Here is a 17,153-nt window from a genome sequence, read left to right on the forward strand (position 1 = left end):
TATCAGCAAATATTTCTGAGCACTCATCACTAAAATATGTATTCTTATTTTTAAATTATGTAAGCATACTATATAGTACTGCATTTTATACATAAAACATATACAAATTTAAAATGATAAAAATTAAAAAACAATGTAACTGGAAAATCTATTATTTTATTCTGTGTACCAAAAGATCATCTTCCACATTTCCTGGAAAGTCTGCCCCTCACTTTGGAGAACCTGTACTGTAGTACTGGTAGTTATAATTGTGTCCTCTAACTAGATGTGCACTCTGTAAGGGTACGGAGTATGGTTAATTCAATTTTGTATCCATGAAAGTTATCATAGCATCTTGGACATTATAATAACTTAATGATCCCTATTTTGAATGAATTAACAATTTCTACCTCTGCATCTTTTTTTTTTCATTAGTGCTCCTCTCAAAAATATTTCTCCTTCCCTTCCTTTTCACCTGGCCAAAGTCTACCTGTCACCCAAGTCAAGGCCAGGTTTTTTTTTTTATTTCCTATGAATTTTTTCCTGTCACTCTAAATCTCATGTAATCTTTCTTCTCACCTATAGAAATTACTGACTCTGCTGTTCACTTAACATATCGCATTCATTGTCGGTGACAGATGACATTTTCTCCTTCACTTATGAAGCTTAGTTTGGCTGGATATGAAATTCTTGGTTGAAAATTCTTTTTTTTAAGAATGTTGAATATTGGCCCCCACTCTCATCTGGCTTGTAGGGTTTCTGCCGAGAGATCTGCTGTTAGTCTGATGGGCTTCCCTTTGTGGGTAACCCAACCTTTCTCTCTGGCTGCCCTTAAGATTTTTTCCTTCATTTCAACACTGGTGAATCTGACAATTAAATTGTGTCTTGGGATTGTTGTTTTTGAGGAGTATCTTTGTGGTACTCTCTGTATTTCCTGAATTTGAAAGTTGGCCTGCCTTGCTAGGTTGGGAAAGTTCTACTGGCTAATATCTTGAAGAGTGTTTTCTAACTTGGTTCCATTCTCCCCATCAATTTCAGGTACACCAATCAAACGTAGATTTGGTCTTTTCATTTGGTCTTTTCACATAGTCCAATATGTCTTGGAGGCTTTGTTCATTTCTTTTCACTCTTTTTTCTCTAATCTTGTCTCTGGCAGGTGTCTCCCAGTCAGGCTACAGGGGGTTCAGAGACCCACTTGAGGAGACTGTTATTGGAGCTCGAACACTGTGCTGGGAGAACCACTGCTCTCTGCACACCTGTCAGACAGGGATGTTTAAGTCTGCGGAAGTTGTCTGCTGCCTTTTGTTCAGCTATGCCCTGCCCACAGAGGTGGAGTCTAGTGAAGCAGTAGGCCTTGCTGAGCTGCCGTGGGCTCTGCCCCGTTTGAGCTTCCCGGCCACTTTGTTTACCTATTTAAGCCTCAGCAATGGTGAATGCCCCTCCCCCTGCCAGGCTGCAGCCTCGCAGGTTGATCTCAGACTGCTGCGCTAGCAGCGAGCAAGGCTCCGTAGGCGTGGGACCTGCCAAGCCAGGCACGGGAGGGAATCCCCTGGTCTACCGGTTGCTAAGACTGTGGGAAAAGCACAGTATTTGGTCAGCAGTGTTCCATTCCTCCAAGTACAGTTTGTCACAGCTTCCCTTGGCTAGGAAAGGGAAATCCCCTGACCCGTGTGCTTCCCCGGTGATGTGACGCCCCACCCTGCTTTGGCTCACCCTCCGCGGGCTGCATCCACTGTCCAACCAGTCCCAGTGAGATGAACCAGGTACTTCAGTTGGAAATGCAGAAATCACCTGTCTTCTGGGTCAATCACACTGGGAGCTGCAGACCGGAGCTGTTCCTATTCGGCCATCTTGGAAGCCACTCAGATGACATTTTCATGCTGGTATATATCTTCCCAGATACATTGCAAGCTCTTCTTTATTTCCTTATCTGTAACTCACTAGCTTCCTTTTGCTATATTTATTTAAAAGTCATTCTATAAATATTCATTGAACAGATGACAAAGCTATCAATTCACTCAGCTACCCTTTTGACTCAAAATTGTCGTAAGTGTGTTTGGCATTTTGTTTTCTCATAGATGTTTAAAAACAGCTGTTCTTCCTCCAGAGCTCCCCACTAGCTGTTATTTTCAATACTCAATTTGCAAAAAAATTTGCCATAAATTGAGGAAAAAAACTGGAGAACACAATGTAAAAAATAAGCCTCTTAAGCATGCGCATAGAATTATGGTTCTGCCATAACAGAATTAGTGGGTTTTAGATTCCTTGAGACACAATAATATGTATTTTAGACTATCCAGACATATCAAGCCAATGCTTTGGAAACTGACTAAAGAATTAATGTACCTGGTTTGTCTTAAAACAATTGGTTATAGATGCAAATCAAAACCACAATGAGATACCATGTCACACCAGTCAGAATTGCTATTACAAAAAAGTCAAAAAATAACAGATGCTGGGGAGGTTGTGGAGAGAAAGGAATGCTTATACATTGTTGGTGGTAGTGTAAATTAGTTCAGCCATTATAGAAAACAGTCCAAGGTTTCCTCAAAGACCTAAAAATAAAAATACCATTTCACCCAGCAATCCCTTTACTGGGTACATACCCAAAGGAATATAAATTGTTCTATTATAAAGACACATGAACATGTATGCTTGCTGCAGCACTGTTCACAATAGCAAAGATATGAAATCAGCCTAAATGCCCATCAATGGTAGAATGAGTAAAGAAAATCTGGTACATATGCACCATGGAATACTATACAACCATGAAAATGAATGAAATCATGTCCTTTGTAGGAATATGGATGGAGCTGGAGGCCATTATCCTTAGCAAAGTAATGTAAGAACAGAAAACCAAGTACTGCATGTTCTCATTTATAATGGGAGCTAAATGATGAGAACACATGGACACATAGAGGGAAACAGTACACACTGGGGCCCATCAGAGGGTGGAGGGTGGGAGGAGGAAGAGGATCAGGAAAAATAACTGTGGGTACTAGGCTTAATACCTGGGTAACAAAATAATCTGCACAACGAACCCCCATGACGCAAGTTTACCTATGAAACAAACATGCACATGTACTCTTGAACTTAAAATAAAAGTTAAATAGAAAAAAAAGAAATAAACAAGAGTTCTAGAGAAGGATGGTAGAGTTGATTGCACAACAATGTGAATGTACTTAATGTCACGGAACAACAAACCCCCATGTTTACCTATCAACAGACCTGCACATGTACCCCTGAACTTAAAACTTAAGAAACAAACAAACAAGCAAACAAACAACTGCTCATGCCTTTCTATGTTCAAACGCTCTGTATAAGATCTAAATTCCTAAGTTCTGAGAAGCCCCTTCATTCAGAAGACTCTGGTGTTTTCTTTGGGCAGCTCCTTGGATGTGAGCTCTCAGCATATGTGATGTATAGATTAGGAATTCAAGAGCCTTAGATATTGGCAGCCAAACCAAAGGAGGCAGAGTTCATATAAATAAGACTTCAGCAAAATCTTCAACAAAAGTGATTTCTGTCTGATTACATAAGTATGGTAATGAGTTCTGGCTTTAATTCCGGTATACTTTCTGCAACCCTGGTTCATGCTCACATAGAGAAATAAGGAAAGCATTTTTAAGCTTAATAAAAACATTTCTAGTTGCCTGGAGCCCAGAAATAATTACAATTTCACCTTCATGTTCTAAAACTGTATGATTTCTTTCCATCAAAAGTCTAGTAGCATTTTTTATTCTGTATGGATGGTGCTTAATAAATGCTTGTTGGATGACTTAGAGTAGAAAATAAATGTGTTTATTGATGAGGGAATGATATTCATGTTCTACAAAATATCCCATTTCTCCCTCAGTATGTATCTTGGCAGAGTTAATTAATATATTCCATTTGTTTCTAAAAGGATTTGAAGATATATTCTTCTATTTTATCCTCACAATCGCCCTCAAAGGTAGGTGGGGCAGGTCTTATCCATCAGTAAATAGGTGACAAAATTGGGCCCAGATAGACTTGAACACTTCTAGTCTTAGTCTTGGAGATTCTTTCTCTAAAAGCTATGTATGTGTGTGATGGGGCAGGAAAAGAGAAGAAAAAAAACACTCGTATGATGTGCTGATGGCATTTAGATGTACAGCGGGAGGGAAAGCAGGGTTTCTCAACCTCAGCACGACCAACGTTTTGGGCTAGATTCCTGCTGTGGGAGGGTGCCCTGTGCATTGTGGCATTTTCAGCATCATCCATGGTCTTTATACAGGAGCAGTTGGATGCCAGTAACAGTTTCCTCACTCCCCAGTCATGACTTTCAAAAAATGTCTCAAGACATTGCCAGGTATTCCCTGGGCAGTCAAGCTGGCCCCCCATTGAGGACTCCTGAAGTAAAAGGGAAACACAAATGGCTTAGAATTTCCCAGGAAACATAGAAGAAGCCAGAATCAGACCTCTTAATTTGGTCACTTGTTTTGTTAACCATTTATTGAGTTCTTATTATATATGTAAGCTATCATAAGTTACTAGAGGCGGTATAAAGACTGGGAGGACGTGACTCATCCAAGGAGAAATTTACAGTCTGGTAAAGAAGGAAAAGGTCATGTGGACAATTGTGATAGGTGTTTATTGAATGCCTACTGAATGCAAGGTACTATACTAATTATGTTCCCTTTTATGGCAAGACTCAAATGGGGATAAAGTACACAGAAAAAAACAGTGCTGTAGGGATATTTTCTATGCACAAAGAGTTTTCAAACTAGAAGGGGGAAAAATGGAAAGAACTAGAAAAGAACAACATTGAGTGGAAAATAAAATGTGGCTGCTTTTAAAAAGTTATAATAAAATGTTTAATGTGATTCTGAAAATTACAGGAATTTTCAAAAGCAGAGCTAGAGAAGTAGGAGGAAGTTTTAAGCATATGGGAATAGAGGTGGGCTGTGGGGAAGAAATTCTAGATCAGAGGAGCAAAGGCATGGGGTACCCAGATTAAATACTCTTGGATTTTCTCAAACCTACTACACATTTCCATCACATTTTACTCTATTTTATTTGCAATTTTGATGACCCTAAGTCTACCTGTTCTTCAGCATCATGATTTTCTCTCCTCTACTGATCTTGATGTTTATTTTTTAAACTCATTTTTAACTTAGATGACGGGTTGATGGGTGCAGCAAACCACCATGACACACGTCTACCTATGTAACAAACCTGCACATTCTGCACATGTATCATGGAACTTAAAGTAAAATTTAAAAAAATTTCCTTATTATAAAAGTAACATAGATTTAGAAATGATAATAAAATGAAAATGATAAAATACACACAATCCTACTACCTAGACGAAAACCCTCTTTAGAGCTTACGCTCATTAAACTGCTTCATAATGTCATTTTTTGCTTAGCACAATATTATGAACATGTTTTCCCATTTGAATAAATTCACATCTGCAGCACCTTTCAGTGATTAAATATGTCTGTTATTTAGGTATATCCTCATTTATCAACAACTCTTCTATTACTAGTTTTTCTTATTGCTTTAAACTTCTCTTTATCACAGGCAAGGCTAGAATAATTTTTATTACAGCTACATTTTCCTTAATTACTTTCTTAGAATAATTTCTCAGTAGTTTCCAATATTTTCACCCTCAAGGACTCCTTTTACTGGGTCACATGTTTTGAAAGATACAATCTACCAAACTACATTTGGTATGAAAAAATTTAGTTTACTATTTTTTAATTAACCAAAGACTTTGATAACTACTTATCAAAACTTTGGGTCAGCTGAGATTTAAAAACGGATATTTACTGCATTAAGATGATATAATTCCAGCCTAAAGCAAAGAACCTTGATATGAAAGTTAGCCTCTGCAGCCTTATCTTAAGGAACTAGATTCTTTCTGTGAGATTTTCTGTAATATTAAAATTCACTTGTAGACACCCTTTTCCCACATTTGCGACTGCTCAAAGTTAGGGCTGAAATACTTGAAGTCGGTGAGTTGCTTTAAACTGCAAAAGAGAAATATAGGCATGATTGTCTAATTACATTAAATGTTTACTCTATTTTCTGTGGCCTGATGGTAGATTTCACATAATTGCTTTTTATCTGAAAACACCTTGTGCTTGGAATAAATTACTGGAGAACAAGGTTTTAGTCTGATGTGGGTTCCTTTTTTTTTTTTTTTTTTTTTTTAAGTGGTCCAAGTAGATTATTTCTGACAGTCTGTGAACAAGAGTAGCCAAACTCAGGGAGTCCTGAAGTTACCCTTCAAATGTGTGTTCATGTATACAACCTATTCTGTCCCTTGCCAGAGAGTGGCAGCTGCAGGGCTAATCTATAGAGAAGCTGAGAACCTCACTCATTTCCAAAACTGAATTCACTTTGGCCATTGCTGCTTGTCAGTTACATTGCTTCGTTTAATGGTATGATGTCCAGAATAGCTCTCTGGAACCAAACAAGAAGGAAAGAACTTCAGTGCTTACTTGGACATTCTAAATTTAGATCATTTTCTAACTGTTTACTGCCAGTGGGTTAAATGGTTTGGCTCCTGGACTGAAGTTTGGGTTACAGAATTCTTAGGCGGGTCCCTTCTTGCAGCATTCTGAATTCTGATTAGGCTTTGCAGCGGCTGTGCATATGCATGATGGTGCTGGTGGAATGGTTCCCAGGACTGTTCCAGCATTCATTTCAGGACAGATTTTTCAGTGTGGGTCTTCTATATGATGGTGAGTCAGGCGGTGCAGTGGTAGAGAGCGTCAGTATTGAGCAGTCTCAACTGAAGCCGTGATTGGCGGCTTGCCATGATGTCTGATGACAGAGTATCTGCCACGCTGGGGGCATTTTACACCTAGCATCTAGATATTAATTTGTTAACATTTTGGGAAACATTTGAAATTACACTGTAATCTTGCTGTTTCTTAGACAGTAAATTCCAGCATAGAGTGGGCTGCTGGTTTCCTGTTGAAGGGATCTTAAGCCTTGAAGCATCCAAAGAAATTCATTTAGGCAGCCCAGTCACCTAGAAAGCAGGCTTACTGCATGGGCTCTGTGTATGGCATCAGAGTGAGACTTCCTGTTATAGAATTGTTAAAGGACCATAACAAAGATAGAGTCAAGTTGGAGAGGGCTTGGACACATCCAGATTTCTGCCAATGCCCTCTGGGGTCCCTTGGGGCAGTAGCTGCCTAGGGCAGTGAGCCTCTGGGCTTTGTCTTCCTCTGAATTCCATAATGAATATCCAAAACCTTTTGTTTAGTAAAAAGAATTTTGTTGCAAAAAATTGCAATAAAAGAACAACAAAAATAAATAAAAGCAAAGCCTTCAAAACTCGGATATGAAATAGCCAGTAAGTATACACAGAAACTGAGGCGAAGAAGTGTCAAAAATTCACACTTAAGTTCAAAGACTATAAGTTCAAGGACCACAATTGGACCTAGATCTCACCAGACTTTTGTCCACAACTCTTTTTGCCACCTTTTTCCCACCCTCCTCCCTCCCTCCTCTGCCCTCCTCTTGCTCCTCTCCTTCCTCCTTTTCATCACCTTCCTCCTCTTATTCTTTTTCTTATTTCTCTTCCTCTCTATTCTTACTCTTACCTTCTTCCTCCTCTGGTTCATCTTCTTCCCTCTCCCTCTTCCATTTTTCCCCTGCCTTCTTTTTCTTCTCTCTCTCTATATTTTTATTGTTGGTTAAGGCAGAAACAGCTAAATTGTTGTGTGATATTTATGTAAACAAGTATTTAGCCATTTGTCCTAACTTAATGCCAGTTCATCTTAGCTCTAGCTAGGGTTTTAATCTAAGGATATTTTGAACTTGGATTTTTCATATCAGCTTTCCTATTGACCCATTCTAAGTAAGGTGTTTGGTTTGAAGATTTTCTTATAATAAAACTTGACTGATTTTCAAGACACACGTAGACTCACACATACCTGCCTGGTTTTGTAAGAGTTGGCAGGTTGCTAGCTGAGAGTCACTCTCTCCTCCCTATTGTCATTTCATACCAAGGACATTACCTAGAGATTTTTACAAATGAAATTTGAAAAAAAAAAAAAGTGCCCGTCCTAATGACAAATGGTCAAGAGAAAATGACAAGGTGGGGCTGTTTGAGGATATACTGAATACTTTACTGATCCTAAGCCAAGCAGAGCCATTAAAAAATAGTTCCCATGGCATTTCTGGCCTGAGCAGAAACAGTTATATAAGTCATGGGAAAATGCCTCTTCTCATGAAATGCCTCAGCTGAGTTCACATTATCTGAAGCTGTGATTCTCAAATCTGGGATCACCAGGACGTTTTCAGCAAAGCCTGTGCAATTGTCAACCAGCAGCTCTGTCTCCCTTTGAATTGTTTGTTCTGATAGACAAGGGTCTCCCCCAGGTGACCTCATTTCCTCCCTTTCTCCTCCCCTTTCCACACTGGAAAAAAATCTCACTTTCTGTTTGTTTGTGCTTTTTTTCCTCTCTCCTTTCTATCAATGACTACTGTTATGGATTGAATCACAGTCCCCCAAAATTCATATGTTGAAGCCCTAATCCCCAATGTGGCTATATTTGGAGATAGGTCCTTAAGGGAAGTAATTAAGATTAAATGAGGTCCTAAGGATGAAGCCCTAATCAATAGGACTGGAGTCCTCATAAGAAGAGGAGGAGGCACCAGAGGTCTCTCTCTGTGCTCACACAGAGGGGAGGCCATGTGAGAACACAGGGAGCAGGCAGCTATCTGCAAACCAAGAAGAGGCCTTAGCAGACACCAACCCTACTGGTACATAGGTCTTGGACTTGTAGCTTCCAGAACTCTGAGAAAACAGATGTATGTCGTTTTTGTTGTTTAATACCATCTGTGGTATTCTGTTATGGAAGCCCAAGGTGACTAATACAGCTACTTAACAAAAATGTCACGTGAACCTTCCTAAGCCACTAGGATGTCACAAAAATACTATTTCTTTGGTAGATTCAGATCGATAATGAGGTGTTAGTTGGGCATGGTGGCACACACCTGTAGTCTCGGCTACTTGGAAGGCTGAGGTGGAAGGATCACTTGAGCCCCGGAGTTCAAGTTCACTCTGGGCAACATGGCGAGACCCCTCTCTCTAAAAATAAACAGATAAATAAATAACATTTCCTGTCTCTTTGAAAAAAATTGTCTCTGATCCAGGAGTCTGAAAAACAAGAGTCTGGAAAAGCCAGCTTCTTCCGGCTGCATGCCTGCCTAGATGTGGGTTGTTCTGTGTGTTTGTGTGTGTGTGTGCATGTCTGTGTGTGTGTTTTCATGTAACAGTCACATACAAGCTCATGTATATTTGTTTTTACTATAGCTAACATTAGTTGAGCACTTACTACATGTGACAAACTGTAAGTACTTTGCATGCATTACCTCATAATCCTCACGCTAACCCTCTGAGGAAGATACTCTTATTTCCTTTATTTATTTTAGTTTTATTTTAAAATTTCAGTTCTTTTCATTTTGTTTTCTTCATTTGTTTGTATCATCTTTTGACTAACATCTCACAATTATTTCCTTTATTTAATTGGAGAGGAAACCCATATTAAAAGAGTCAGGGAACATGCCTTCTTTCAACTTCCCATTAGTGAGAGAAAGAGTCAGGACTTGAACTCAGGCAGTCTAATTGTAGAGCTCATGTTCTTACTACCTGATTGCAGTGCTTCCCATTTTTGTTTATAGCCCTTGTTTTTTATATCTTCTAATGTTCTATGTTAAAAAAAATTCTGAGGCAACTTCCAAAGACATATAAAATATAACATGGCATATAGGCAAAGATGAAGAAAAAATAAGGATGAGAATGGAACTTGGATCTAGAAATGAAGGGAATGTATATACTTGTGTTTAACTTGAAGGTCTCTGGCAGGCAACAAGAAGATGGAAACCTGTTCATTCTTGCAAGGTAAAGTGTTCTCAAATTTAAAATAATTGCAATTGCTCAGCAGAAGCACAACTCCTCTTATAATTAAGCCCAGGCAAGAATTTCTCCTAAATGTGCATGTGTGATACAGTGAACAAAACCGTCAGCCTCCTTAGTGCCGATGAAGTGACAAGTTCGCTGTGCCTGCCACAAGTGCACAGATATACGTACATGCACACATAACTGCATCCTCATCAAGCTGCTTATGTCACCAGCTATTCTTCTTTATTCTCTCACCTTGTGGCTGTGGGTCAAAAATCAGCAAAAAATCAATGACAATACCTACATCATTGTGAGAGTCCAGGGATGCATTAATAGTGAAACTGAAAACTATGAAATTGGTGGGGGGAACCAGGATTTAGAGAATGTTTTCTCAATCTGGGGGTTGTGACCTAGGAGTAAATTATGAAATCAAGATGGTGGGCCATAATCAGTACTTTTTAAGATGAAGGAGAATAGAATAGAAAAGTTCAGAGTGAAATGCAAATGGCAAAGGTGAACTCTGTATTATGAGATGTTTCAGTACATGTATGCAGGTATATGTACATGTATGTACATTTATAACTAAAATGATATTGTTGTTCCAAAAGGTAACCTATAAAATATATAAAAATATATAATAATATATATAAAAATATAACCTGTTTGCTTATATTTACAAAACTGAATATTTCTGTTTTACATATATTCAGATTTAGCCATTTTAATTATAGGATGCGTAGTAATAAGATCCTATAGCACTGGTCAGATTCAGTGTATATTCTTAGAGGATATAAGAATAAGAAGCTAGAAAAGTGTCTCTGGTAATTGCTGAAGAAAGGACTATCGATCCAGAAAAAATTGTTTTTGGCTTGAATATGGATGAAATGGATCAAAACCTAGGCCATACTACTAGAACATGGAATAGCACAAATAATGACAGCAACCCTCTACAGTTAGTTACTATGACAGCTTCCCTTAAATTTGTGCATTATAAAGTCCTTACACTTTGGGGTGAAAAAAAAATGTTCTTTGAGAACATAAGTATATCATTTTGTTCACTTAGCATGAGCCTTCTTTAAGGCATTATGAAATTTCGTATCAGACTTGGGTAATAAAAACTGATACAATATGTACTTAATAAAAGATAGTTCTTTTTATTATTTTTTTTAATGTTTGTATTAAGATGTTTGCATCTGATCTAGGCAATAGAAAACCACCTGGCAGGTTCAACTTCACATATTTGCTCATATTTCTTCATTTTTATAGTCCCTAAAGAGTCTCCATAAAATTTCTATCTAGGACATTGAAAACACTTCTCATTCCCAGGGGTGATAACTCACAGGGTCAATTAACACATATACACAGACAACTCTCAAGTGCCTGTCTCCATTGTAGACCTCGATTCTAAGTAATTAGACTTGTGTATTTATTTGCCTACTTAGATATCTTAAAGACAACTCAAAATCAATGTCTTAAGTCAAAATGATGAAATCTAGTCTTCCAATGCTGTATTTCTTATCCTAGGGCATGATCGAAAGCCACAAAACAAGGAGTTATTTTTGACACCTCAATCTCTTACTTACTTCATCTCTCCATATTGAATCCATCAACAAGTCCTGTTCATTTTTCATTCAAACGTCTTTTGAATCCTCTGTCTTCAACTTTACCAACACTTTAGTCAAACTACCAGGATTTCTTCTCTGGATCACTGTAATAATCTCCTAACCTACCTATATCTATTCTCTTCTTTTTTAAACCTATTCCCCAAATATAGCCAGAATTATATTTTTGAAATTCAAGCTTAAAACGTTCCAATGGCTTCATGATATACTTGGGATAAAAATAAAACTCTTTAACATTCTGTTTCAGTCAGAAGATACACTCTAAAGAGTTTAACTGAAAACAATTTATTAAAGATGCTATCGTAGAGGTGGGAGAAGATTTAAGGGAATCAACAAGGAATGTTGGGACCCACCAGTAACAATCAGCTGCGGGATTCCACTTCCACCCCTAGGCAGAGAGAGAAGGGGAGGGAACTGGAACTGTGGGAGAAGTTGTAGTCACAGCAGCCTGCAGTCACTACCAGAACCATGGTACGGCAGGAAGAGCAGGAACGAATACCCCGACTGCCTTCCTTGCTCACCTTTTGTTCTCCTGCTGGTGCCTCTCATTCACTAACCCAGACTTAAGACTAGAAGGCTGCAGAGCCCAGGTGGTGCATCGTAGGAGTGAGCTTCCCAGAGCACAGAATAGGGAGGAGAAGAGCAGAACATTGATTTGGAAACTTATAGGGCAGAACTGTTTCATGGGCAGCACCAAAAATAAAATTAGATTCAGTCTAAGTCATATGGAATACACTTAAAATTTTTTAAAATAATCTAACTGGTAAGAGATCACTATCCCCCACCCAAATCCCTGGTTGCTTAGACAAAGAGTCACTAAGTTGCTTTGGGCTACTGTCTTAGTCCATTTGTGCTGCTATAGCAAAATAAATATGAGTCTGAATAATTTATTAAGAACAGAAAGTTATTTTCTCACAGTCCTGGAGGCTGAAAAGTTTAAGATCAAGGTGTCAGCAGGTTCCGTTGTCTGGTGAGAAATGCTCTCTGCTTCCAAGGGGGTGCCTTGTCACAGCCTTCTCCAGAGGGAGGAACACTGTGTCCTTGTATGGTGGAAGGCAGAAGGCAAGCAAGCCGACTGCTGTGTGAAGCCTCTTTTATAAAGGACTTAATTCTATTCATGAGAGGAGGGACCCTTATGACCTAATCATCTCTTAAAGACCTCACCTCTTAGTTTCAACACCTGATTTTAGAGGGGACACATTAAAACCACAGTAGGTTCCTAAAAATGATTGCCCTTCTTATGCTTACCTTAGGCAGAACCCTAGAGAATGGGCCTTGCTTAACGAAGCAGGAAGCAAGGATAATAAATTTGCATGACAATATATTTTTAAATGCATGGAAAAAATTCAGGCTGGTAGCAGATTAATCAGCGGAATGTCAAGACACTTTGTTTAACAATCTCCACCCTCCTCCATGTGGCCTTTCCCCTTACTTGGTCCTGCTGATCCAACAGTAGACTAACAAAGTTGGAAGCAGTGACCTGCTCAGTCTTCCCTTTGTTGTCTGGAAGTCAGGACCAGTTCTTATTTTCAGATGCCTTTGCAAGATAGCTGGTTTATATCCTGACTTTACATACCTCTTGAAAATCTTTTAATCGGACACACTTTACAGAAATTCATTCATCACACATTTTTGAGCACTTGCTACGTTCTATGCAACTACAATAGATGCTGGATGACATAATAGATGCCAGACAGTGTGAAGATACAAACTCCTTGACTTCCCATTTTATATGAAGTTTGAGATAGATGTTGAAATTTTTCATTATTAAATTGGAAAGCATTGCATGTTTATTTTTGGCTTGCTTCCTTAGGCTGTTTTTCTTTGCAATAATAGTCACCCTGTCTGTGGGTCGATCTGTAGAGAGTAACTACACAGGTGGCTGGCATGACTGTGACAAGTTTTCAGGGCAAACTTGTGGTTTGGGAGGCATCTGTGTTTTATGTGGGCTGGAGATAGGCTGTTTATTTCCTTTCTCTAGAAACAGGCAGTGACAACAATTGAAACTATTGCCTGTAGGAGTTTTGACTACTCATTAAGTCACTTACAGACTACTGAATGCATCTAGTCCAGTTGGGTAGGTCCCTACCTCTGGTGGGACTGCATCTTTCATTTCCTTTTTACCTTGCCAGAAAAGGAGGCAAAACACTTTCCACATAATCGAGTCAGAGAAAATATATATTTGTACATTCCTTATAACCTTTCCACGTTCACTTTTGATATCATGAAAATTGTGTCAATATTATGGCACCGGAATAGACTATTCCTTCATCACCCACTTTTAAGCCCCTGCAGTGATCTCTGCACTATAATAGATGATGGGGAATAGAGACATGAGTGACCCCAGACCCTAATTTTAAGCGATCTACAGTCTGGTGAGAGATTCAGAAAATAAACAGTAATAATAGACAAGAGAAATACTGTGAAAGAGGAAAACACAAGATTCACGAGGGGCCAGAGGAGAGATTGATTAATTTTTCCAGAGGGGAGTTTTCAGAGAGGAAGTAGCCTTGCATTAATACTTGTAGGATGGGCTTATAGAAATTGTAGAAACTCTTCAGGCATCAAGAGAGGGGTGGGCCTTCTAGACACAGGAACTGTGAAAGTGAAGTGTGGAGAAATGAGAGAGCCTGGGTGTTCAGGGAAGTGTGAGTAGCCTTACAGAGTGGTGTTCTCAAAAACTGTGTTCCATGAGGTCCAGCTCAGGTTGTTCCTTGGATAAAGGGGCCCATGGACAAAAAAGTTTGAGAAACCTAGATGAAACAAATGGAAGCAGATTTCCTTTTTAAATGTGTTATTGGTTTTTCTTATTATGTGATTTTCTTAATGACAATGTGCTTTGTGATTCTTTAAAATGAGGGTAGAGTATGATGACGTGATCAGATTTCTTTGTCCATAGCGTCATTTGTTTGTGGCACATCTATTTGGGAAATGCTGGGTAGAGTATAGAATGCTCATGGGAGAGTGTTCAGAAATGGGGTTAGTAAGGACAATAAGGGTAGAATGTAAAACCTGTATCCATGCTAAGTATTTATGGGTGCAGGAGGGATTTAGAATGTGTTGAATATTATGACCCACATGACCAAATGTATTAGTCTGTTCTCATGCTGCTGATAAAGGCATACCTGAGACTGGGTAATCTATAAAGACAAAGAGGTTTGATGGACTCACAGTTTCACGTGGCTTGGGAGGCCTCACAATCACGGCGGAAGGCGAACGGCACATCTTACATGGCAGCAGGCAAAGAGAGAATGAGAGCCAAGCAAAAAGGGAAACCCATTATAAAACCATCAGATCTCATAAGACTTATTCACTACCATGAGAACAGTATGGGAGAAACCGTCCCATGATTCAATTATCTCCCACGGGGTCCCTCCCACAACACCTGGGAATATGGGAGCTACAGTCAAAGATGAGATTTGTGTGGGGACACAGCCACACCACATCACCAAATGTTCATTTTAGGCAGTTGTGTTAGAAGCAGAGTGACTGAGGCCTGAAGAGACTGAGATGGGAGTAAGGAGATGGTTTGTTTATCCTCCCTCCCTCCTTCCCCACCACCCTCCCTCCCTCTCTTCTTTTCCTTTCCTTTCCCTTCTCTTCTCTTCCCTCTCTTCCCTCCCTCCCTTTTAATCTGACACACTTTACAGAAACTCATTCATCACACATTTTTGAGCACTTGCTATGTTCTATGCAACTACAATAGATGCTCCCTTCCTCCCTTCCTTTCTTCCCTTTTCTTCCTAGCTTCCTTTTCTCTCCCTTCTAACATGTATTAAGTGCCCAAGATGCAGAGAATATAACGTCGAACAGAACAGACAAAAGAGTCTGCTCTGATAGAACTTACATTCTAGTGCAGGGGACAGATACAGACAAAGTGTGGGGGAGGGGCACTACTAATTTAAGGAGGATGGTTAGGGAAGGCTCTAGAAAAAGATCTTTGAGGTATCTAGTGGAAGGTCAGTCTGGGCAGAGAAACTGCTAATGCCATGCTCTGAGGTGCTGCATTTGCAGTGACTTTGGGGTGTCCAAATAGAGACTTCCTAAAGGCAGTTGAGTATATAGAAAAGGAATTCAAGGAAGAGGTGAAAACCCAAGACCCATGTTTGAGAAACGTTCCCATATTGTTTCCATCTGAAGGAATGGGCATGGCTGGAGTGGGGAAAATAGCCAGAACAGACCAAGTGTGGAATCCAGGACAGAAGATAAAATTGCAGAGTTCAAAGACTACCTCTCTGAACAAAACCAGAAGAGAGAGGCCACCTAAGCTAAAGAAAGTGTGTGTATTATCAGTGGCTGCACACGCTGACTTTGAACATTATCTGCCAAGGAAGAATGGTCAAGAAGGGGTTTAAAGACTTAAACCAAGTTCACTGGAATACAGGTGAGGCAGTTGCCTTCTTTTTTAACAGGGAAGAGTCATTTGAAGAGTGTTCTTCAAATGGAGAGGGCAGAGCTGAAAAACAAACAAAATGAAGCAAGAGCAAGACAATAAAAACACAACCTAGTAATTTCAGAATTCTGAGCAGAATAGTTCACATTTCACAAGAGCTGGGGACTTCAACCTTGGGGCAGACCATCCCTGTGGGTTTCTATAGATATCCAAAGGAAGAGTAGACTCTTTCTGGAATGGAGGAATTTGAGCACCAAGGAGCCAAAAGGCTTAAAAAGGTAATGCAGACTGTTATTTTAACAGTGGACAAACGTGTACCTTTGCAAGTTGTTTATTTAATTAGGAGGTAGAGAGTCGTGAAGAGGCCATGATTTTAAAACCAGGCTGCCTGGACTCCATCCCAGCTCCACCTCTTAGTAACTATTGTGACTTTGACAATTTCCTTAGCCTCTCTCTGTTTCTGTTTGTTTCTGTAAGTTTGTGTTAGAAAGAATGTATGACTTACAGAATCATAGTAAGTACTAAACAAATTAAATCATGTAGAGCATGGTGCTCATAAGAAGAACCCTAAACATTAGCTCATTTGTTAACTGTGTATACATAAAGCTTAATCTCAATCTAGATTTACACTTCCCTTTAAATGGGTTATAAATTATTGCTTGTCTTTGGAATATTGGAGAGAGACCCTGGATCCCACGAGGCAGGAAGAGACAAGCTGTTGAAGAAGCAGGCACCCAGAAAGAAAGAAGTCATCACTGTCAGAGTAAGTGTAAACCAGGCTCAATTTGGAGAACGCAGAAACATTCTCTGGAGATTGCCAGAATTCACTGGAAGGAGAACCACGTAGAAGTTTTGCCTTCCCATAATCAAGCAGGAGGGGAGCAGAGCCTTCATAATTTGGATGTTATCTGTCAATACGATGTAATTTTAGGTGTCATGGTAGAGTCCTGGGCTGACATACTAGCTACACATAGACCAGAGGGGTTCTCTCCCCAGCTCCTCTGTAGAGGAAAATATGTCACTGGGCCCTTGACAAAAAGATGTGCTTTTGTTTCTGCTGAGAGTCTGCAGGAAGGAATGTTCTACAGTATGATTGTCCTCCTTCCTCTGCTTCTAGAAAAGATTAAGGCAGAAGTCAAGCCAGAAATAAAACTGCTCTTTACTTCTGTCATTGGAGATTAAGCAGATGATGACTAATCACCTGTCCTTCTCTCTGTTTCCAAGCCAAATGAAAAACTTTCAGTACAACTCAGGACAGCTTTGGGGCTCCGTC

The sequence above is a fragment of the Homo sapiens genome, chromosome 12, assembly GCF_000001405.40.
Source record: "Homo sapiens chromosome 12, GRCh38.p14 Primary Assembly".
Taxonomy (NCBI): domain Eukaryota; kingdom Metazoa; phylum Chordata; class Mammalia; order Primates; family Hominidae; genus Homo; species Homo sapiens.